The sequence below is a fragment of the Homo sapiens genome, chromosome 7, assembly GCF_000001405.40.
Source record: "Homo sapiens chromosome 7, GRCh38.p14 Primary Assembly".
NCBI lineage: Eukaryota > Metazoa > Chordata > Mammalia > Primates > Hominidae > Homo > Homo sapiens.
Window position 1 is genome coordinate 104,939,390 of NC_000007.14, and position 23,391 is coordinate 104,962,780.

The following is a 23,391-nucleotide window of genomic DNA, read 5'->3' on the forward strand; positions in this document are numbered from 1 at the left end:
GAGCAAGGAGGATGGGAGGAAAGAATGATTCCAGGTGTCTGGATTAAGGCATGGGAGCCTTTGGTTCTGTGCCTAGACCTGAGCTGCCTGGTGAAAGAGGCACAGATGGAGTGTTCGCAACCTAAATTTTCTGTTTACTGACTCCATTATCTGGAAGTTCTGTCACCTCTTGGTACTTAATTACCTTGGGAATAATAGAGCCTCTCCTAACAAGTGTTGTAATGAAAAAGAAATAGGATAATGTATGTAAAAATTCTACATACATGTTTGTTAATTGTTTTAAAAGAGAGAGCACTTTCAGAGGATCCAGAAACATTCCTGGCCTCCCCTCTCTCTTTCATTTCTCAGGCTGCTAAATCAATGATTAGCTCTCAGGCCAGCTCCCCTGGAAAGCGCATGAAAGGGAGAGTGAACAGAATGGCTTCTCTCTCCCAAGGAGGCTGCCTCATCAGGGTCACAGCCCCTCTGCCACCAGAAAGCCTGGATCTGGGCCAGAGCCACAAAGGCTAACAAACTCCCTTCATGTCGGCTGAGAGTAAAGAGTTGGGGTCCATCTGGGCCCCTCTCCCCAACTCTCTAGGGGCAGCGAGAGGTGACAGTGTGCTGGCAGCCTTCACAGCCCTTGCTCACTCTCGGCGCCTCCTCTGCCTGGGCTCCCTCTTTGGCGGCACTTGAGGAGCCCTTCAGCCCGCCGCTGCACTGTGGGAGCCCCTTCCTGGGCTGGCGGAGGCTGGAGCCGGCTCCCTCAGCTTGCGGGGAGGTGTAGAGGGAGAGGCACAGGCGGGAACCGGGGCTGCGTGCGGTGCTTGCAGGCCAGCACGAGTTCCGGGTGGGTGTGGGCTCAGCGGGCCGCACTCGTAGCGGCCGGCCCGTCCTGCCGGCCTGGGCAATGAGGGGCTTAGCACCCGGGCCAGCGGCTGCAGCGTGTGTGCTGGGTCCCCCAGCAGTGCCGCCCACCATCGCTGCGCTCGATTTCTCGCTGGACCTTAGCTGCCTCCCCACGGGGCTGGGCTCGGGACCCGCAGCCCACCATGCCTGAGACTCCCCCACCCTCCGTGGGCTCCTGGGGGGCCCAAGCCTCCCCGACGAGTGCCGCCACCTGCTCCACGGTGCCCAGTCCCATAGACCACCCAAGGGCTGAGGAGTGCGGGCGCACGGTGTGGGACTGGCAAGCAGCTCCACCTGAAGCCCCCGTGCAGAATCCACTGCGTGAAGCCAGCTGGGCTCCTGACTGGTGGGGACTTGGAGAAACTTTTTGTCTAGCTAAGGGATTGTAAATACACCAATCGGCACTCTGTACTAGCTCAAGATTTGTAAACACACCAATCAGCACCCTGTGTCTAGCTCAGGGTTTGTGAATGCACCAATCAACACTCTGTATCTAGCTAATCTGGTGGGGACGTGGAGAACCTTTGTGTCTAGCTCAGGGATTGTAAACGCACCATTCAGCACCCTGTCAAAACAGACCACTCCTCTCTCTGTAAAATGGACCAATCAGCAGGATGTGGGTGGGGCCAGATAATAGAATAAAAGCAGGCTGCCCCAGCTGGCAGTGGCAATCCTCTCCGGTCCCCTTCCGGGCTGTGGGAGCTTTGTTCTTTTGCTCTTTGCAATAAATCTTGCTGCTGCTCGCTCTTTGGGTCCACATTGCCTTTGTGAGCTGTAACACTCACGGCGAAGGTCTGCAGCTTCACTCCTAAAGCCAGAGAGACCACAAACCCACCGGGAGGAACGAACAACTCCAGACGCGCGGCCTTAAGAGCTGTAACACTCACCGCGAAAGTCTGCAGCTTCACTCCTAAAGCCAGCGAGACCACGAACCCACCAGGAGGAACGAACAATTCCAGATGCGCCGCCTTAGGAGCTGTAACACTCACCGCGAAGATCTGCAGCTTCACTCCTGAGCCGGCGAGACCACGAACCCCACCAGAAGGAAGAAACTCCGGACACGCCGCCTTTAAGAACTATAACACTCACGGCGAGGGTCCACGGCTTCATTCTTGAAGTCAGTGAAACCAAGAACCCACCAATTCCGGACACAGCAGGATCCCACCCACAGAACCGCCAGGTGCACAGCTGCATATCCTCAGGGGAAAACTCCCCTCCCCTGCCACCTTACTGATAGGCTTCACTTCCCAGAGAACTTTCCCAATCCTGTGCAATGCCTGAGTGGTACATTGTATTCTATGAGAATGGCGCCCCCGCCTCCAGAGTTGTGCAACAAGACTTCCATGAATCAAAGCCCATCGCTGGCTGCCTCCTCTAGCCCTGCATAGCCCAGGTACATCTGAAAGGAGTGAGAAGTGTTTTGAGGGCTCTCCCTGTCTCTTCCTGCACCTCTCTCTTGTGATCCCAGGTAGGCACCTGCTCTGAATCTTGCTCTTCCTCAGTTGCAGTCCCGGGTGGAAGCAGATCAGAATCGAATGAGTGGCCCCTCTGCCATCCTGCCCTGGCCTCCACCTTGCCACTCTCATTAGACTGGGCATTCCTGGTATGTGGTGCTCAATGCTTGTTGAATGAATGAATAAGTAAGACTCTGCTAAGATCTCTGCCAATAATAACCACAGAGATAGTTATATTATTTTAATGGAAGTTTCTTTAAAACCAAGACAATTACAAGAGCCAAAGGATTGACAACTCTACTGATGGCATGTCTAGAAGAGACCCTTAGAGAAAGGAACCTTTCCAATCCTTTTTAGATGATACCAAGCAGGCAACCGCCTCCCCCAGACGCTTGCCCCAGTCTCCTATGGAAGGTTCGGGTAGCCTGGACTGCAGCTCTTCTAGGCAGCTTTCCAGTTGTATTCCCTGGCATAATTGTAACTTCAACACCTAGGTCTTAAGAAACATGTGTCCAGGCACAGTGGCTCATGCCTGTAATCCCAACCCTTTGGGAGGCCAAGGTAGGAGGATCGCTTAAGGCCAAGAATTTGAGACGAGCCCAGGGAACATAGTGAGACCCCATCTCTATAAAAAATTAGAGGCCAGGCACGGTGGCTCATGCCTGTAATCCCACCACTTTGAGAGGCCGAGGGGGGCAGGTCACCTGAGGTCAGGAGTTCCAGACCAGCGTGACCAACATGGAGAAACCCCATCTCTACTAAAAATACAAAATTAGCCTGGTGTGGTGGCGCATGCCTGTAATCCCAGCTACTTGGGAGGCTGAGGCAGGAGAATCACTTGAACCCAGGAGGTGGAGGTTGCAGCGAGCCGAGACCGTGCCACTGCACTCCAGCCTGAGTGACAGAGTGAGAGTCCATCAAAAAAAAAAAATTAGAAAATTAGCTGGTGGTTTGCGTCTGTAGTCCCAGCTACTTAGAAGGCTGAGGCAGCAGGATTGCTTGAAGTAATGCAGCAAGCTATGACTGTCCCACTGCACTACAGCCTGGGCAACAGAGTGATACACTGTCTCTAAAAAAGAAAGACAAAAAAGCAACATGGCCTGGGTTATCTGGGCAACACATTCCACACATCTTGGAGGACCCTCACCTCCTGATAATCAAAATGAGCATTTCCATGTTTCATATTTCTGAGTGCCTGTCAACAGCACACCATTTCACAGCAGAGCAGGGACTAGAGTGAGGCATAGGAGGCACTCAACATGGGTGCAAAATTCAATTTTTTTTTTTTAGATGGAGTCTCGCTCTGTCACCCAGGCTGGAGTGCAGTGGAGCGATCTCGGCTCACTGCAACCTCTGCCTCTCAGGTTCAAGCTGATTCTCCTGCCTCAGCCTCCCGACTAGCTGGGATTACAGGTGTGTGCCACCACAGCCAGCTGATTTTTGTATTTTTAGCAGAGACGGGTTTCACTGTGTTGGCCAGGCTGGTCTTGAACTCCTGACCTCAGGTGATCCACCCACCTCAGCCTCCCAAAGTGTTGGGATTACAGGTGTGAGCCACAATGCCGGGCCCATGGGTGCAAAATTTAAGGGGCCGCCAAAAAACTCAGTAAACAAGATAAATATTTTAGTGCAGTTCTTTTAAAATTTTTGATATTTTGTTCATCGTGGATAATTTTTTATTTTTATTTTTTAGTGGTTGCATTAAAATATTGTTTATCATGGTTGCTGAGTCTTTTGGCACCCATTGGACTTTGTACGCTGATCCGGTACCTCCTTCTTCTCAATCTAGTCTCAGTCTCTGAAGAGCAGAGTGCACTCATCTCAGCTCCGATCTCTAACCAGTGCTGGCTTGTGAGAACCGGCTTGAAGAAGATTGATAGGTTGATGGTTGGGCTGGAGCGTAGAGTGGCTGGAGGCCCCGTCTACCTCTTTCAGAAAGCCACGAAAACAGATAGGCAGGGGGCCAAGTCTATTGTTCCAAAGTTTCCACAGGCCTTGAACGGCCCTTGGGCTTTGCGGTCTGGTGATCAGAGCTGTAAAGGTTTCTAAACAATCAGAGGCCTTTGATATGGTTGCCAACACCCACATTTTCCATTCTGGGAACAATGCCATCAAGGGCCACAGCCTCAGTCCCCCACCTAAGTGAGGAAGTGTCTGCTGGTTGCTGGTAGGAGCAGGTCCTGTGAGGGCAAGGGTCAGAAGGACAGAGGAGTCTTCTTATCCTGGCTGCTCGCCTTTTCCCTCTGGTCACCTCACCCTTTTGCATGTTCAAAATCTATGCTCATCTTATCTAGCCCATTCCTCTTGGCTAAAGCCAGCACACATCCTGTTCCTCTCAATGGGAGAACTATCCGGGCAATTGCATTTAAAGGTTTTCTTGCATTGGTTCGGAATTTGCCCTGGCTCTGCCCTTATTTCCTGATCCCAGTGTAGTTTCTTTATTCAGGTGTGCAAAAGAGTGAGCTATTTTGTTATGGAGGCAGAGAGAAACAACCTCAGGTTCCTCTAATAATGCCTTTAGAACTCTCTTCTGAATAACTGGGGCGTTAAATTCATCGACAAAATCCCTTTGGGAGATACACCATCTGGGGACCCCCTCAAAGGTAGATATCTGGGCTAATTTGACTGCTATTTTGCAGGAATGCAGGTGGGCAAAAGATAGTTTCCACTAGGTCAGAATGTTTTTTCCACTTTCTGTTCTTTGTTATTTTGCTCACTTCCGGTGTGAAAGCACTGAATTTCAGAATTAGATGAAACTTATAGTAAAGGCCTGCCACAAGGTCTTTGTCAACCCCATATCCTGGTGACCAAACTAGATTTCATGACGTCAATCATTTCAAAAACACAGGCTCTTCCAACGGCGTCAGCAAGCAGAAATCCTGTTCACAAACACTGTTCTAAATCAGTCTTTATTTTATTTTATTTTTTTTGAGACAGAGTCTCACTCTGTCGCCCAGGCTGGAGTGCAGTGGCACTATCTTGGCTCACGGCAACCTCCACCTCCCGGGTTCAAGGAGTTCTCCTGCCTCAGCCTCCCGAGTAGCTGGGATCACAGGTGCCTGCCACTACACCCAGCTAATTTTTTGTATTTTTAGTAGAGACGGAGTTTCACCATGTTGCCCAGGCTGGTCTCAAACTCCTGACCTCAGGCGATCCGCCCGCCTCGGCGTCCCAAAGTGTTGGGATTACAGGCATGAGCCACTGCGCCCAGCCAAATCAGTCTCTTAATACTGAGTCTGAATCTCTTGAGATTTTAGCCCCTCAGTGCTGACCTGATGGAGATGTGCCTTTTTTTTTTTTTTCCGGGGAAGTATTCACTTCAACTCCCACAACCCCCGAGGAATGACTAGTGGGTTTCTTTCCCCTCCCCTCGGGTGGCCTTGTGAGGAAGCCAGGAAGTACTGTGAGCGGCAGGGCCTGGGAGAGCCCCTGTGGCCGACAGGAGGAGATCAGCCTTCATCGCACTCTCAGAAACGGAAGTGTGGGCGTGTGTTATGTTGCTGCAGCAACCAAAGGCAACCGAGCAGCAAACCTCAGATGACTGAGCCCAGCCCATTCAACGAGGGGGAGTTTCAGGTGGCCTGTGTTCCCCAGGGACTGGGCCTAGCTCAATCGGGAAAAGTCAGCATCCAAAAGTCCTCAATGACGCAGAGGAAGCCAGGAGAAAACAGTCAATGGCTAGTCATCACTGATTCGTGGTCACAGGCGTTAGAACAGGAAGGATCTGCACAGATCAGCCTCTCCCACCCCTCACTTTCCTGATAAAGGAACTAAAGTCCGGAAAGTACTTGCTCAGAGTCCTACTGCCAGTGGGTGTGAAAGCCAGAACCACCACCCTCATTGCCTTCTGTATACATAGCTTTAACAGTTTGCAAACACTCTTATATGCTTTAATTTCATCTGATCCTGGACTGAGAGCAAATATTTGTATTTCAACCAAAAGGCCAAATGCTCAGTTTCCTCATCTGAGAGGATAATAAGAGTACTTTTCTAATGGAATTCTTTTTTTCTTTTAATTTTTGGTAGAGACAGGGTCTCACTATGTTGCCCAGGATGGTCTTGAACTCCTGGCCTCAAGAGATCCTCCCAACTGCACCTCTCAAGTGCTAGGATTACAGGCATGAGCCATTGCTCCCTGTCCTCTAATGGAATTTTTGTTAGGATTAAATGAGTTAATAGTTTGGAGATTTGAGAGACTATAATAGAGGAAACCTCTCTTCCCTTCCCAAGTTCTGAGTAATTAAGAGCTGGGCAAGGAGAAATAAAAACAAATGGGATTGGCCAGGAGCAGTGGCTCTCTCCTGTAATCCCAGCACTTTAGGAGGCCAAGGCAAGCAGATCACTTGAGGTCAGGAATTCAAGACCAGCCTGGCCAACATGGAGAAACCCTGTCTCTACTGAAAATACAAAAATTATCTGGGTGTGGTAGTACACACCTGTAATCCCAGCTACTCGGAAGGCTGAGGCAGTAGAATCACTTGAACCCAGGAAGTGGAGGTTGCAGTGAGCCGAGATCACCCCACTGCATTCCAGCCTGGGTGACAGAACGAGACTTCATCTCAAAAAAAAAAAAAAAAAAAAAGCAAATGGGATCAAAACATCAACTTTATCACTGATACATTTTATATAGGAGTCCATGGTTTACATTTGTGGGTAAGTGAATGCCAGAATTAGGCAGGGTACCCACGCAGGCTGGGGCATGCCCCCCAGTTGGAAACTGTCCCTGTAAACAGTGGAGCCTGGGAGAGCAGAGCCCAAAGCATGCTCTGGAGGAGGATGGCTGCCAAGAGGACAGAGATGGGCTGAGCTATGCATCTCCAGTTCCTCCCCAGCGTCTCCATTGAGAAGTTGCTCCTCTTCCTGTACCACCCTCTTCACCACCACCACCACCCTCCTGGGCAGGAATGAGTCAAAGAGCAGGGAGACAGGTCAGAAATCTCATGCCAGAGAAGCTTCTTCCACATGGAAGGAAATGTAAGGGATGAGGAAGAATCTTTTTCCCTTCTAATAAATATACGTAAAGCACTTAGTACCTGGCACAATAGTAAATGCTCAATAGAAGTTAGTGATTACAGGCCGAGCGCAGTGGCTCATGCATGCCTGTAATGCCAGCACTTTGGGAGGCCGAGGTGGGAGGATCACCTGAGGTCAGAAGTTTGAGACCAGCCTGACCAACATGGCAAAAACCCATCTCTATTAAAAATACAAAAATTAGCTGGGCATGGTGGTGGCCACTGTAATCCCAGCTTCTCTGGAGGCTGAGGCAGGAGAATCACTTGAACCTGGGGGGTGGAGGTTGCAGTGAGCCAAGATTGTGCCACTGCACTCCAGCCTGGGCAACAGAGACTCCATCTCAAAAAAAAAAAAAAAAGAAAAAAGAAGTTAATGATTACTATTAATACTTGAGCTATAGCTTATTCATCATACCAGAGACTTCTGTACCTCTATTGATGTGACTTCTCTAATCATGTCTGCTCTTATTAGATGTGTGACCTCGGGAATTTTATTGACCCTCTCTAAGCCTCAGTGTTCTCCTCTATACAATGGCTACCATGATGGTACTTATAATTGGGAAGACTACATGATTTAGTGTAAAGGGCTTAGCCTGGATGCCTGGAACCTAGTGAATATTTAATAAATGGTGACTATTGTTTATTATAAAAGAACTTGGGAGTCCAGCACAAAATAAATGCAAAATTTGCAATCATGAAACATGATTGATTTAGAAGAGGCATGTAGGCTGGGCACGGTGGCTCACGCCTGTAATCCCAGCAGTTTGGGAGACCGAGGCGAGCAGATTGCTTGAGGCCAGGAGTTTGAGGCCAGGCTGGCAAACATGATGAAACCCCATCTCTACCAAAAATACAAAAATTAGCTGGGTGTGGTGGTGTGTACCTGTAATCCCAGCTACTCTGGAGGCTGAGGCCTGAGAATCGCTTAAACCCAGGAGGCAGAGGTTGCAGTGAACCGAGATTGTGGCACTGCACTCCAGCCTGGGCGACAGAGCAAGACCCTGTCTCAGAGGCATGTAAAGGAAAGGCCGATTATCAGAATTAGAGCAATTGCTTCCTTTGCAGACACGATCTAGATACCTAGGTTTTATGCCCAATTTTGCCCCTGAGAATGAAGCACCAGGAGTACTGCAAAATCATCTGGGTGTTTTCCCATCACTTTCCATAAAATGAGGAGAAACTCACAGTCTAGTGTTCACCTTGGGAAGATGGTGGTATTTTGGTATTTTTGAAGCTGTGAGGTCTTTGGGAAAGAATATTTAAGTGCTCTTTCATGTGTTGAACAAAAATGGCTTCAGCCAATCACAGAAGCTAAGAGCCACTGTCTGAACTGCAGGAGGATAGATGCTGGATTTATCTCACCCACTGCTTTGTCTTCAGCACCTGGCACAACATGTGGTACATAGTACACATTTATAAAATATTTGTTGAATATGTAAGTGAATGGAGCAGGTGCCTCAACACACAGCAATGGTAAGATGCTGCCTAAGGGGATGTGGTCTCACTTTTTTTGTAGATCTAGGTAGGGCAAATCTATGGAATACGGAACTAGAGGCATTTGTATAATCGTTGACTGGTCTTCTTGGTGGAGGGTTGGAGGTGGACCACAGGTTGCTGAATAAGGAACCCACAGAAATGTTGATTGCTGCTTTTTTTTTTCCCTTCAAAAGCCCCTCGATGCCTGTTATTTTGAATATGGGAGCTTGAGTTATTTATACTCTATTTCTCATGCAAAGTGAGATAAGAAAAAATGAAAAATGTAATACCTTAACGATCAGGGTAAGTTATAGAAATAGCCCACTTTGAGACAGGGATAGATGTAGACCCTGGCAGATTAATCAGATTTCATCCTAAAGTCTCAGACATGCAAGGATGCTATATGCACACTTTATGTAATAGCAAAAGACTAGAAAAAATGCAAATGTCCACCTATAGGGGACGTCGACACAAGTAATATTGTGCAGCTGTAAAAAGGAATGAGAAGTAGTTCTGTGTATTAGTATAACCTATATTAAGTGAAAAAAACAAAGTGCAGAATGGTGCATAGAGTATGCTATCTAAGAAGGAGAAATACAACTACATATATGTATGTGCCTTTTTTAAAAAACTGGAGGCCAGGCATGGTGGCGCACACCTGTAATCCCAGCACTTTGGGAGGCTGAGATGGGTGGATCACCTGAGGTCAGGAGCTCAAGACCAGCCTGGCCAACATGGCAAGACCCCATCTCTACTAAAAATACAAAAATTAGCCATGCTTGGTGGTGGGCACCTGTAATCCCAGCTACTTGGGAGGCTGAGGCACGAGAATCTCTCATACCTGGGAGGCGGAGGTTGCAGTGAGCCGAGATTATGGTGGGTGACACAGTGAGACTCTGTCTCAAAATGTAAATAAATATATATTTAAGAAGTGGAAGCATAAGCCAAACACCAGTAAAAATAGTTATCTAGGAGATAGGGGAAGAGAGTAGAAGGGAGAAAAATGGAAGCTAGGCTTGACTTCCCTGAATGTGCCTCATTTTGTAGGTTTGACATTGGAACCATGGATATGTTTGTTTGTTTGTTTGTTTGTTTGTTTTTTGAGAGTCTTGCTCTGTCGCCCAGGCTGGAGTGCAGTGGTGCAATCTTGGCTCACTGCAACCTCCGCCTCCTGGGTCCAAGCAATTCTCCTGCCTCAGCCTCCCGAGTAGCTGGGACTACAGGCACCCGCCACGACACCCGGCTAATTTTTTGTATTTTTAGTAGAGACGGGGCTTCACTGTGTTAGCAAGGATGGTCTTAATCTCCTGACCTCATGATCCGCCCGACTTGGCCTCCCAAAGTGCTGGGATTACAGGCATGAGCCACTGCACCCACCTGGATATGTTTTACATAATTATAAAACAAAATTTAATAAAGATGGACCAGGCACAGTGGCTCACACCTATAATCTCAATACTTTGGGAGGCCAAGACGGGTGAATCGCTTGAGCCCAGGAGCTCGAGACCAGCCTGGGCAACATGGTGAAACCCCATCTCTATAAAAAATAAAAAGTTTAACTTGGTGTAGTGGCAGGCGCCTGTACTCCCAGCTACTTGGGAAGCTGAAATGAGGCCAGGGGGCAGAGGTTGCAGAGGTGGCTCTATTGCACTCCAGTCTGGGCAACAGAGTGAGACCCTGTCTCAAAAAATAAAAATAAAAATAAAATTTAATAAAGATGGGGGCAAAAAAGAAATTCCTAAAAACTGAATGCAATTGAAACAAATAATTTTAACTGTGTATTGAATTAGTGATTTAATTTTACAGAGATGAATTATTTTAAGTGACTTTAAAATACAGTAAGCGATCTGTACTGTAATATAGCCTAAAGATGAATGGAAACAGTATATTAGTTTGCTGGGGCTGCCATAAGAAGCACCACACACTTGGTGGCTTAAACAACAGAAACTGGCTTCTGCACAGTTCCCGAGGTTTGATGTCCAAGGTCAAGGTGTGGCAGAGTTGGTTTCTTCTGATACCCATCTTCTCGGTATGTAGATGACTGCCTTCTCTCTGTGTCTTTACGTGGTCTTCTCTCTGTGCACGTATGTGTCCTCATCTCTTCTTATAAAGACACTAGTCAGCTCACACCTGGAATCCCAGCACTTTGGGAGGCTGAGGCAGGCAGATCACAAGTTCAAGAGATTGAGACCATCCTGCCCAACATGGCGTGAAACCCCGTCTCTACTAAAAATACAAAAATTAGCCGGGCGTGGTGGCTCATATCTGTAGTCCCAGATACTCAGGAGGCTGAGGCAGGAGAATCGCTTGAACCTAGGAGGTGGAGGTTGCAATGAGCAACAGAGCAAGACTCTATCTCAAAAAAAAAAAAAAAAAAAAGACAGTAGTCATATTGGATTAGAGCCCACCATAGAGAGCTCATTTAACCTTCATTACCTCTTTGAAGATCCTATCTCCAAATACAGTCACATTCTGAGATACTTCAATGTATTAATATGGGGAGGGGGGCAAGGGCAGGGAGGAGACACAGTTCAGCCTGAAACAAACGTCAAAGAAATCTAAAACTGCATTCTATGGTGTAGTTGTAATATTGACATTGGTGTGTGTACAGTTTGAGTTTTAGCCCCAACTAAGGTCCCAGACACCATGGAGTGTCCCGGATTCCCTTCCCAAATTCCTGACCCATAAAATTATGAGCAAAATTTAAAAGTTGCTTAAGCTACTGAGTTTTTGGATAATTTGTTATGCAACAATGGTAAGCAGTGCAGAAGCTTTTTTGCTCCCTTCCAAAAAAGGACCTTATTTGGGAACATGTTAAGGGAATCTGATACCACAGAAAAGTCAGAAGAAAATAAAAAATATCTAAAATGTGGAAATCTCTAGAGGACAAATGATCTGGCTTTTATAACAACAACAAGGTTGCAAGAAGGAAAAAGAAAGTGAATTTTTAGGTTAAAGAGATGAGAGACATACCATACAAATGCAAATTCAACGTGTGGGCTTTATTTGGATCCTGATTCAGAAAACAAAAACAAAAATATTATTCATGAGACAGTTGGGAAAATTTGAATACTGACTGGATGTCTGTTCATATTTATGGTTTATTATTTTAGGTTTGAGAATGTTATTGTGGTTATTTTTTTTGTTTTGTTTTGTTTTTTTAAGAGTCCCTGTCTCTTTAAGAGTGCTTACTTAGTGTAGGCCAGGCACGGTGGCTCACGCCTGTAATCCCAGCACTTTGGGAGGCCAAGGCAGGCGGATCACGAGGTCAGGAGTTTGAGACCATCCTGGCCAACAAAGTGAAACCCCGTCTCTACTAAAAATACAAAAATATCTGGGTGTGGTGGCACGTGCCTGTAATCCGAGCTACTTGGGAGGCTGAGGCAGGAGAATCACTTGAACCAGGGAGTCGGAGGTGGAGTGAGCCAAGATTGCGCCACAGCACTCCAGCCTGGCAACAGAGAAAGACTCCGTCTCAAAAGAAGAAGAAGAAAAAAAGACTGCTTAGTGTTAAATTCCCAGGGTACAGAAATGTATCAGTCATGGTACTGCCTCCTTGAAGCCCATGGTCAGTAGTGAAGAAAGCATGTACACAGATGAATCATAAGGAGAAAAAGATGTTAAGTGCCACAAAAAGAAATAGGGAGTGTGCTTAGGACAAAGTTTCAACGAAGAGTTTATTTTTGCAGAATCCATTCCTACCCAACAATGACTTAGACACTGTCGTCAATATCTACACCTGAGCCTCCCAGAGGCTAGCATGATATAGTTTGAACTTGTGTACAGAATATGACCTTAACCTACTTGAAAAACTCTGTGTTGTGATGGCTGCTGCTTTCCTGGCATTATAGAGGGGGGTTGACTTTATATATCTACCTAATGGCTGATTGTATTTATCCATTTGGGCTTCCATAACAAAATACCATAGACTGGGTGGCTTAAACAACAGACATTTTTTTCTTACAGTTCTGGAGGCTGGGAAGTCCAAGATCAAAGAGCCCAGTGATTTGGTTCTGGGTGAGGAATCTCTTTCTGGCTTGCAGATGCCACCTTCTTGCTATATTCTCATTTGGTGGAGAGAGAGCACTGGTCTCTCTTCCTCTTGTAAGGGGACTAATTCCAACACCACAGCTCCCCCACCATGACCTCATTAAAACCTAATTATCTCCCAAGGCTCCATTTCCAAATACAGTCACATTGGGGTTAGGGCTTCAACATATGGATTTTAGGGGGACATGATTCAGTCCATAGCAATGGTGTCCTTTAGCAATACTGAGAGCAATGATCCAGAGACCCCCAACTTCATCAGAATCACTTGCTTTTTTTTTTTTTCTGAGACAGAGTCTCATTCTTGTCACCCAGACTGGAGTGCAGTGGCATAATCTCAGCTCACTGCAACCTCTGCCTCCCGGGTTCAAGCGATTCTTCTGCCTCAGCCTCCCAAGTAGCTGGGATTACAGGTGCCCACTGTAATGTAAATTAGCATGATGCCTGGCTAATTTTTGTGTTTTTAGTAGACACGGGGTTTCACCATGTTGGCCAGGATGGTCTTGAACTCCTGACCTCAGGTGATTCACCCTCCTCGGCCTCCCAAAGTGCTGGGATTACAGGCATGCGCCACGGTGCCCACCCCACCTCATGTGCTTTTTAAAAAATATCAGTACTAGAAAATGTGTCCCAGATTCAGTAGGTCTGAGCTGAGCCCTGACATCTGACAGCTGACTTTTTAAATAGTTCCCTGGTCATTCCCTCTCTTTTTTTTTTTTTTTTTTTTTTTTTTTTTTTGGCAGGATCTCACCCCATCACCCAGGTTGGAGTGCAGTGGCACAATCATGGCTCACTCCAGCCTCGACCTCTCGGGCTCAGGTGATCCTCCAACCTCGGCCACCCTAGTAGCTGGGACTACCACGCCTGGCTAATTTTTGTATTTTTTTGTAGAGACGAGGTCTCTCTATGTTGCCCTGGTTGGCCTTGAATTCTGTCTGCAGTAGCCTCCCAAAGTGCTGGGATTACAGGTGTGAGCCACCAAGCCCAGGCACTTTTTTTAAAAAATTTTTATTTCAACATAACACTCCTGCTATGTTGCCCAGACTGGAGTGCGGCGGCTATTCAATTCACTGCAGCCTCTAACTCCTGGGCTGGAGCCATCCTCCCACCTCCTCCCAAGTAGCTGGGACTACAGGCACATGCCACTGCACCCAGTCCCTTGTTATTCTCTTGAGCATCTCAAGATGAGAGTCATTGACTGAGGAATTGCTGGCCAGTACATTGCAGCAGGGAGGGGAGGGACTTCAAATAATGAAACATTTCACAAGATCCTCCAATTTCCACTTGCTAATTTTGATTTTGGGTTTATCTTGCATTTCTTTTGCTTTTGTGGTTCAAAGCCTCCTCACTCTGGGCCCCAGCATCCACATTCTCTTTTGGGCAGATACTAATCCCTTTATTTATCATAATCTCCCATATCTGAATGTACTCACCATTTTGTAGTCATCTGAGCTAGTCCAACTTGATACCTGAATTATTTTCTTTGGCTGGAGTACTTCAGAAAGCAGCATGAAGTTTTTGAAGTTTCTTTCTTTTATTTTTTTTCTTTCCAGTATGAGAAAACTCTTCTTCAACAAAGGACTATAATATTTTCTTTTCTGGTCAATATATTCAACCTCATTTAACACCTTTGCGTCCACCTAAGAAAAAGAAAATTTCTAGATTTTCAAAGAATTACACAAATGGTTTCTTAGAATATAAATTCCCTATAAAACTGTGACATTGCTTTAATTCATGAAAATGTGTAACACGTTTCATGGTATTGATTTCTAAAATGCTTCTGGGCCTTAGAATGGATTTCAAGGTGCTAAAATCAATTATTGATAAGCTGCAAGTTGGTTTTGAAATTTATTGAAAATGTTCTTTTTGCCCCTTGTCTGTTCTCTGCCTGCCTATTCTCTGCTCTGTGTAGCTTCCTTGCTTCAACCCATCAGCCAGCAGTGGCTGAGTGCCCTCTGACCCTGTATTCTAGGTGCCATGGGGAATAGCAGGAAAGGAAAATGTACAATTCTATCTTCCAGATTAAAATGCAGATGCGGGTCAGGCACAGTGGCTATCACACCTGCAATCCCAGCACTTTGGGGGCCAAGGCAGGTGGATCACTTGAGGTCAGGAGTTCAAGACCAGCCTGGCCAACATGGTGAAACCCCATCTCTACAAAAAAATACAAAAATTAGCCAGACATGGTGGCAAGTGCCTGTAATCCTAGCCATTCGGGAGGCTGAGGCAGGAGAATCACTTGAACCCAGGAGGGGGAGGTTGCAGTGAGGTGAGATCCTGCCACTGTACTCCAGCCTGGGTGACAGAGTGAGACTCTGTCTCAAAAAAAAAAAAAAAAAAATTAAAATGCAGATGAGGAGATAAGGCTATCACAAGTGAGAGATTATGAAACAGTATAAGGTGGTATGTACAATGATTACCATGATCTAATTTTTTCTTCTAGTTAGAAAAATTAGAATCTATATTCATCTACTTATTTGTTGTTATTTTATTTATTTATTTTTTCTTTTGAGATGGAGTCTCACTCTGTCACCCAGGCTAGAGTGCAGTGGTGCGATCTCGGCTCATTGCAACCTCTGCCTCCTGGGTTCAAGTGATTCTCGTGCCTCAGCCTCCCAAGTAGCTGAGATTACAGGCACACACCACCGAACCCCGCTAATTTTTGTATTTTTAGTAGAGATGGGGTTTCACCATGTTGGCCAGGCTGGTCTTGAACTCTTGACCTCAAGTGATGCACCCACCTTGGCCTCCCAAAATGCTGGGATTACAGGCATGAGCCACCACATCAAGCCAATTTTTATTTTTATTTTTATTTTTATTTTTTAGAGACACGGTCTCACCTGTCACCCAGGCACTGCAGTGGACGATCATAGTTTACTGTATCCTGGAACTCCTGGGCTCAAGTAATCCTCCTGCCTCAGCCTCCCAATGCACTAGGATTACAGGCGTGTACCACTGCACCAAGTCCTACTAGTTTAATTGACTAGATAAACTGAACGATTTGTTTTCTTCATTCCTCTTTGACCAAGCGTGGGGCTATCCCAGAAAGTAATATGGCATTTTCTCACGGGACTATAATTGGAGTACTTTATTGAGAGAGGATATAACTTCCAAGCAGTGGCTTGGAACAAGCCACTCTCAGGGACATTCTTCACCCTTCTCCTCCCTTTCCTCTCACTTCAGTCATTGCTGTTACATAAACTCTGTCATCATTCTTTCCCCTGAAGTTCAAGTTTGCTTATCTGGGCAGTACCTTTTTCCAATGGGCTGGCCTGTAGTGAGCTTTGTCAGACATGCAGGTCTTCATATACTAACCAAAGGATCCTTCAGTTCTTATGTTACCTTTTTTTTTTTTTTTTTTTTTTTTTTTTGAGACAGGGTGTTGCTCTGTTGCCCTGGCTGGAGTGCAGTGGTGTGATCATGGCTCACTGCAGCCTTGATTTCCTGGGCTCAGGTGATTCTCCCACCTCATTCTCCTGAGTAGCTGGGATTACAGGTGAACACCACCATGCCCAGCTAATTTTTTTTTTTCTTTTGGCATTTTTGTATTTTGGGTAGAAATGGGTTTTCACCATGTTTCCCTGTCACTCCAGGACTCAAGTGATCTCTCCACCTCAGCCTCCCAAAATGCAGGGATTACAGGCATGAGCCACCGTGCCTGGCCCTGTTACATTTCTTTTAACATTTTATAATTCTCAAACTTTGAGAAAGCAAAACCATAACCTAGCATCCAAAGAAAGGCAATTTGAAAGCTGGCTGATTAGCTTTTTGTTTTAAATAGCTAGCTTGTCTTGCCATTTCAAGGCACTTAGTTTAATTTTTGGCCCTTTCTTGCTTATAATTTACCAAGTGCACAATATTGTAGGTTAGCAAGATTTGGACTCTTTGCCCTTGGTTCAGGCTCTGATGTTGTGATTCCCCTAAAGTGCATGTTTGATTTTACACACTCTACACCCTTCTCTTACTCAATCAAGATATGGAAATAAATAAAAATGTCTATTTCATACTTACCATATCTCCCTTTGGAAGAAAATTGCAAGGCGTAAGAGAATTCCCTAAGAAACGTACCTTAAAAGATAAAACTGGACTCCAGAAAATTTGCCAGACTGGGTTGCCAGACTGAACTGTTCAACAGCCTCTCTGTGTGATTCCAAATGCCTTGGCCACCAAACTCCTCTTAGGACCTCCTTTGATTGTAAGTCAAATTTACACGCAACCAGTATTTCTTTGTCACTGCTTAGCTGCTTTTCTGCTTATTCCATTAAGATGAGCAATGTGACCAGCTATCCTTGGGAAGTGAATGCTTGCTTGGTTTGGTTATCTTGCTATCATGACAAAATCTAAACTTATTTCACCTTTATAAAAATCAGTCAGGACTATGTATTTTGGGGGCGGTCTTGCTATGTTGCTCAGGCTGGTCTTGAACTTCTGACCTCAAGTGATCCTCCCACCTTGGTATCTCAAAGTGTTGAGATTACAGGTGTGAGCCACTATGGCCACCCAGAATCATGTGTTGTATGATTCCACTTATATAAAATATCCAGAATAGGTAAATCCACAGAGACAGAAAGCAGATTAGTGGTTGGCTAGGGCCTGGGGTGTTTGGGCAGAAATAGGAACGACAGCTTTTGGGGATGAGGTTTCTTTTGGGGGTGATTAAAATGTTCTGAAGTTGTTTGTGCTGATGGTTGCACAATTTTGTGAAACCAAATGGTAAAAACCATTGAATTGTGCATTTTAAATGGATGAATTGTATGGAACATGAATTGTATCTCAATAAAGCTGTTATTTAAAAGAAAAAAGTCAGGAATTACTCAGGCGACACTGAAGAGGATGTGTACATGGCTTCTTTCCATGGAAGGAGACAAACCACCTTGTATTATTGAAGAGAAAGACTCTGGTATCCCAGCCTTCTACTCTTACTATATACACAGTTTCTATTTTGGTCCTTTTTAAAGCCTTCTTGTTATAGTTAGTGAGCAACAGTTAAGTCGAAAACCACAGTGAGGCCTTGGTTACAGCTTACCCTTGTTTTCAATCAACAAAAAATATGACTAATGTCACTGTGGCTCGACTCAACCACATATGTGGATTCAGGAGGCTTTGGACATGTGCTAGAGGCTGCTGGGGCTGACCAGCTGGAAGGACAGCAGTTAGCTGAACTTAGGCTCCAGGAATAAGATGTTGGTGAAGCCTGGGAAAATGTCTTCCGTGAGCTGGGGGTGGAAAGTTGTTGTGGAAGTAACCCTGAAGGAAAAAAGAGTTCTCTGGCTGGCTTGGCCCAGAGATACAGGCTGGAAATTAGTAAGAAGAGCAGATTTTGAGGCCAGCATTTCTCTAGCTAACTTCTAGCCCAGCGCCCCTTTTCCATCCTACTATTTCATACATGACCCCCAAGGGAAGCCATATCAGGTTCCTAGAGTTGGGAGAAGAGAGACTCAGGGGGAACCTGTACTGAAGTGACTGTGGCAGAGGCAGGGTGAGGCTGAAGAGCACCAGAACATGAGACATTTCCCCGCTGTCACTTAGTAACAAGGGCCCTGTGATGATTAATTTTATCTGTCAACTTGAGGGAGGCTGAGGCACAAGAATTGCTTGAGCCTGGGAGGTAGAAGTTGCAGTGAGCCAAGATCGTGCCACTGCACTCCAGCCTGGGCAACAAAGTGAGACTCCATCTCAAAAAATAAAATAAAAATACAATACAATACAATAAAATTGGCCGGGCACAGTGGCTTACACCTGTAATCCCAGTACTTTGGGAGGCCGAGGTGGGGGGATCACTTGAGGTCGGGAGTTCGAGAACAGCCTGGCCAACATGATGAAATCCCGTCTCTACTAAAAACACAAAAATTAGCCGGGCATAGCGGCACATGCCTGTAGTCCCAGCTACTCAGGGGGCTGAGGCAGGAGAATCGCTTGAACTCAGGAGGCGGGGGTTGCAGTGAGCCGAGATCATGCCACACTGCACTCCAGCCTGGGCGACAGAGTACAACTTTGGCAAAAATAAAATAAAATAAATAAAATTTTATCTGTCAATTTGGCTGGGCCACAATGCCCAGATACTTGGTCAAACATTATTCTGGCCCCATCCAATTGATTGAAGGCCTGAATAGAACAAAAGGCTGACACCCACCCACTCCCCAACCCACACCCGAAGAGGGACTTCTGCAGCAGGCTGCCTTTGGACTTTGTCTGCAACATCAGTTCTTCAGGGTTCACTGGCAGACTGCCTTTGAACTTGAGCTGCAATGCTTTCCTGAGGCTTCCCTGGTAAGATTTCAAACTTGCCAAGCCTTCACAATCACATCAGCCAATTCCTTAAGACAAATATTTTTATATGTATATACACACACATCCTTTTGGTTCTGTTTCTCTGGGAGCCCTGCTAATATAAGCAGTATTTCTTTCTCCAGGATTAGCCATTGGAACAGATTGTAAGTGCAGCTCTGACCTCACCAAAAGGAGACAGTAATCCAGGGACAGGAGCTTTCTGGGTAGGAGCTGAGGCTTTAGTGCAGTGACTTAGTAAAGACAGCCAATTAAAGAGTCCTGTGAGAAACGCTCACAACGCCTTCAACTAGATAAGGGGTACTGGGAACTCCCACTTCTAAGTATGCTCATGGCCGGTGTATCTTTGGAGAAATGTGGGTTTGCTGAAATTCCAGAGCACATATGAAAAAAAGCTCATCATCACTGGTCATTAGAGAAATGCAAATCAAAACCATAATGAGATACCATCTCAGGCCAGTTAGAATGGCAATCATTAAAAAGTCAGGAAACAACAGATGCTGGAGAGGATGTGGAGAAATAGGAACACTTTTACACTGTTGGGAGTGTAAATTAGTTCAACCATTGTGAAAGACCGTGTGGCGATTCCTCAAGGATCTAGAACCAGAAATACCATTTGACCCAGCAATCCCATTACTGGGTATATACCCAAAGGATTATAAATCATTCTACTATAAAGACACATGTGGCTGGGTGCGGTGGCTCACGCCTGTAATCCCAGCACTTTGGGAGGCCGAGGCTGGCAGATCACGAGGTCAAGAGTTTGAGACCAGCCTGAAACTATGAGGTTTCAACATAGTGAAACCTCATCTCTACTAAAAATACAAAAATTAGCTGGGCATAGTGGCATGAGCCTGTAATCCCAGTTACTTAGGAGGCTGGGGCAGGAGAATCGCTTGAACCTGAGAGGCGGAGGTTGCAGTGAGCTGAGATCACACCACTGCATTCCAGCCTGGGTGACAGGGCGAGACTCCATCTCAAAAAAAAGAAGACAAATGCACACGTATGTTTATTGCAGCACTATTTACAATAGTAAAGACTTGGAACCAACCCAAATCCCCATCAATGATAGATTGGGTAAAGAACATGTGGCACATATACAGAAAATCTGGCACATATACACCATGGAATACTATGCAGCCATAAAAAAGAATGAGTTCATGTCCTTTGCAGGGACATGGATGAAGCTAGAAACATCATTCTCAGCAAACTAACACAGGAACAGAAAACCTAATACTGCATATTATCACTCATGGGTGGGAGTTGAACAATGAGAACACATGGACACAGGGAGGAGAACATCATACACCAGGGCCTGTTGGGGGGTAGGGGGCAGGGGGAGGGATAGCATTAGGAGAAATACCTAATGCATGCGGGGCTTAAAACCTAGATGACGGGTTGATGGGTGCAGCAAACCACCATGGCACATGTATACCTATGTAACAAACCTGCACGTTCTGCACATGTATCCCAGAACTTAAAGTATAATAATAATAATAATAATAATCCAGAGCAATTCCCTCCTGCCCTGTCTGAGATTTGATGTAAAAAATGCGTCTTCCAGGCTGGGCACGGTGGCTCACGCCTGTAATTCCAGCACTTTGGGAGGCCGAGGCAGGCGGATCATGAGGTCAGGAGATTGAGACCATCCTGGCTAAGATGGTGAAACCCCGTCTCTACTAAAAATACAAAAAAATTAGCTGAGTGTGGTGGCAGGTGCCGGTAGTCCCAGCTACTCGGGAGGCCGAGGCAGGAGAATGGCGTGAACCCGGGAGGCAGAGCTTGCAGTGAGCCAAGATGGTGCCACTGTACTCCAGCCTGGGCGACAGAGCGAGACTCCATCTCAAAAAAACCAAAAATAAATAAATAAAATAATGAAAATTTAAAAATGCTTCTTCCGGCCAGGCGCGGTGGCTCACGCCTGTAATCCCAACACTTTCGGAGGCCGAGGCAGGCGGATCACCTGAGGTCAGGAGTTCAAGACCAACCTGGCCAACATGCCAAAACCCCATCTCTACTAAAAATACAAAAATTAGCAGGGCATGGTGGCGGGCGCCGGCAGTCCCAGCTACTTGGGAGGCTGAGGCAGGAGAATGGTGTGAACCTGGGAAGCAGAGCTTGCAGTGAGCCTAGATCATGCCACTGCACTCCAGCCTGGGTGACAGAACAAGACTCTGTCTCAAAAAAAAAGAAAGCTTCTTCTAGGGAGGTTTAGTCTCAGGCTGGCTCTCCAGGCCCAGAAGGGGTCATCTCAAATTTCTGCTCTTTGTGGACAGAGCTAATCAAATACTTTTTGGGTAGGGACAGCAGACATTGCCATATTCAGCTTCTTGAAGCTCCTTCAGACAGTGGAAGCTGGACCTTGAAGCTCCCCTAACAAATAATGTAGCAATTGTTGAGAGTCCTCATGGTCATGGGATAATGCTTGGCAGTCAACAGGGGCTCACATTCTGAAATAAGTAACGCCAACATGGTCATGCTTACTGAAAACTGTAAACTACTTTGAAGCATACAGAAATGTGTATTCTGAAATAAGAGACAGGCTGATAAAAGAGGAAAAGAAAAAGGGGTTTGCTTGGTTCTTAAGAGACAGGGATGGGAGTTCCCTGTAAGCAGAGTTGCACAAGAGATGGTATGGAGGCAGAAAAGAGGAAGCAGGGAGCAAGGCAAGGCCAAAGTCAACTGAAACAGGAAAACTAGCCAGAAAGCACATTGCTTGCTCTTTGAAGACATTTCCTTCAAGTTCTGCCTTGCCCCAAAACCTAACCCAGGCCAGGGTGGTGAGCGCTCTCACCTCTGAGCCTCTGACACATGGACTGCATGTACTGCTATTGCTCCTTGGCATATGGCCCAATTTTCTGAAATCATAAGCATTTCTGTGCAACCATCCTGTCACTCCAGTTAAATTTCAAGACAGATTTTTTTTTTGAATAGTATATCCTTAGTGGAAGAAATAGGAACCATTTTATTTTATTCATTTATTTTTTTTGAGACGGAGTCTTGCTCTGTCACCCAGGCTGTAGTGGAATGGCGCGATCTTGGCTCACTGTAACTTCTGCCTCCTGGGTTCAAGCCATTCTTCTGCCTCAGCCTCCTGAGTAGCTGGGATTACAGGCGCCCGCTACCACACCCAGCTAATTTTTTTTTGTATATTTAGTAGAGACGGGGTTTTGCCATATTGGCCAGTCTAGTCTCGAACTCCTAACTTCAGGTGATCCACCCACCTCAGCCTACCAAATTGCAGGGATTACAGGCGTCAGCCACCGCGCCCGGCTCCAGACTGGGTTTTTTAGCAAAGAAGGAATTAATACAGGGAAGTTGGTGCTCATGAAATAGTTGAAAGTACTGAAGGAATAAGCATGTAGGCTGGGGCCTTCTGGAATGTCTACCTGAATGCCACAGAACTGACCCTCATTTCCCTCCCTCCAGAAGCTACAACCTCAGCCCAGATTAGCAGGCTGAGGGGTCAGGAGGCTGTCACTGGAGCTGTTGAGCTCATGAACACGCCGAAGTTGCTGCGCTCCAGAAATGTGGAAGTTGGAATGAAGAGCCACCACTGCTGCCACCAACATGAAGCTTGACCAAGCAAGCCAAGAAAAGATGGCCAAGAGCCTCTGCCTTCCTTCTGCCTTCTGCAACGCAATGGTGAGCTGCACATCCACAACTTGAAGGGAGTCTGGGAAATGCAGAGTTAAACTTTCTAGCCTCTCTAAGCTTTCAACTGTTACAGAAAGGCAACCCAGGAGGAGACTGGAATAAATGCTGAGTGCCAATTTCCAACACAAGTAGTCATTATAATTGGGGTGAGTGTTATCTTGCCCTGGCTCAGGGGTAATCTTGTGTTGGTTCTGTTCATCCCCACCAAAATCAAGTGCAGGGCTTATTCTCCCTTCCCTAACCATCAGGTCACTAGGGGTCCAGGGCCTCACCTTCCTTCTCAAGAGTTAATGAGCATTCCAGGATGTTGTAAGGAAGGACTGTCCATATGGAATAGGGAGGACACAAACCCAACATTTTGCTCTGACTGTTAGCCAATAAACAATGTCCTGGTTGTTGCTTGCTGTCAGGCATAAGTCCTCACTAGACACCTACCAGAAGGCAACTAACCCAATGGTCTGGCATAGGCAAAGGGGCTTACTAAAATGTAGGCTGGCACTCACTTCTAGCCCTCTCCTCCTGTCCCCACCACCTCTCTGTCTTATCACTTCCCTTCTATCTCCCCTCCT

General features: G+C 46.2%; 1 long non-coding RNA gene across 2 annotated transcripts, besides 7 other annotated features; it reads left to right on the forward strand.

The window, feature by feature from the left end:
* The first annotated feature begins 1,554 nt into the window (after window positions 1-1,554).
* Window positions 1,555-22,945, forward strand: LOC101927902 (uncharacterized). Of its 2 annotated transcripts, none has more exons than NR_187678.1 (2): window positions 1,555-2,356; window positions 22,595-22,945. It is a non-coding gene; the product is annotated as an uncharacterized LOC101927902 (long non-coding RNA). The 2 variants fall into 2 exon arrangements; NR_187679.1 differs by having other exon boundaries at window positions 1,555-2,281.
* Window positions 4,510-4,569: an enhancer, noted in NCBI's record as "active region_26447". NCBI's record gives its function as "activates an Ori minimal core promoter by ATAC-STARR-seq in GM12878 lymphoblastoid cells {active_cell/tissue: GM12878}" and the evidence as "EXISTENCE:reporter gene assay evidence [ECO:0000049][PMID:35858748]".
* Window positions 5,210-5,259: an enhancer, noted in NCBI's record as "active region_26448". NCBI's record gives its function as "activates an Ori minimal core promoter by ATAC-STARR-seq in GM12878 lymphoblastoid cells {active_cell/tissue: GM12878}" and the evidence as "EXISTENCE:reporter gene assay evidence [ECO:0000049][PMID:35858748]".
* Window positions 5,570-5,879: an enhancer, noted in NCBI's record as "active region_26449". NCBI's record gives its function as "activates an Ori minimal core promoter by ATAC-STARR-seq in GM12878 lymphoblastoid cells {active_cell/tissue: GM12878}" and the evidence as "EXISTENCE:reporter gene assay evidence [ECO:0000049][PMID:35858748]".
* Window positions 5,570-5,967: a biological region, named in NCBI's record as "Sharpr-MPRA regulatory region 8680".
* Window positions 5,673-5,967: an enhancer, noted in NCBI's record as "tiled region #8680; HepG2 Activating DNase unmatched - State 1:Tss, and K562 Activating DNase unmatched - State 1:Tss". NCBI's record gives its function as "activates a minimal TATA promoter and a strong SV40 promoter by Sharpr-MPRA in HepG2 and K562 cells {active_cell/tissue: HepG2 | K562}" and the evidence as "EXISTENCE:reporter gene assay evidence [ECO:0000049][PMID:27701403]".
* Window positions 6,200-6,269: an enhancer, noted in NCBI's record as "active region_26450". NCBI's record gives its function as "activates an Ori minimal core promoter by ATAC-STARR-seq in GM12878 lymphoblastoid cells {active_cell/tissue: GM12878}" and the evidence as "EXISTENCE:reporter gene assay evidence [ECO:0000049][PMID:35858748]".
* Window positions 21,965-22,034: an enhancer, noted in NCBI's record as "active region_26451". NCBI's record gives its function as "activates an Ori minimal core promoter by ATAC-STARR-seq in GM12878 lymphoblastoid cells {active_cell/tissue: GM12878}" and the evidence as "EXISTENCE:reporter gene assay evidence [ECO:0000049][PMID:35858748]".
* Window positions 22,946-23,391: the final 446 nt, after the last annotated feature.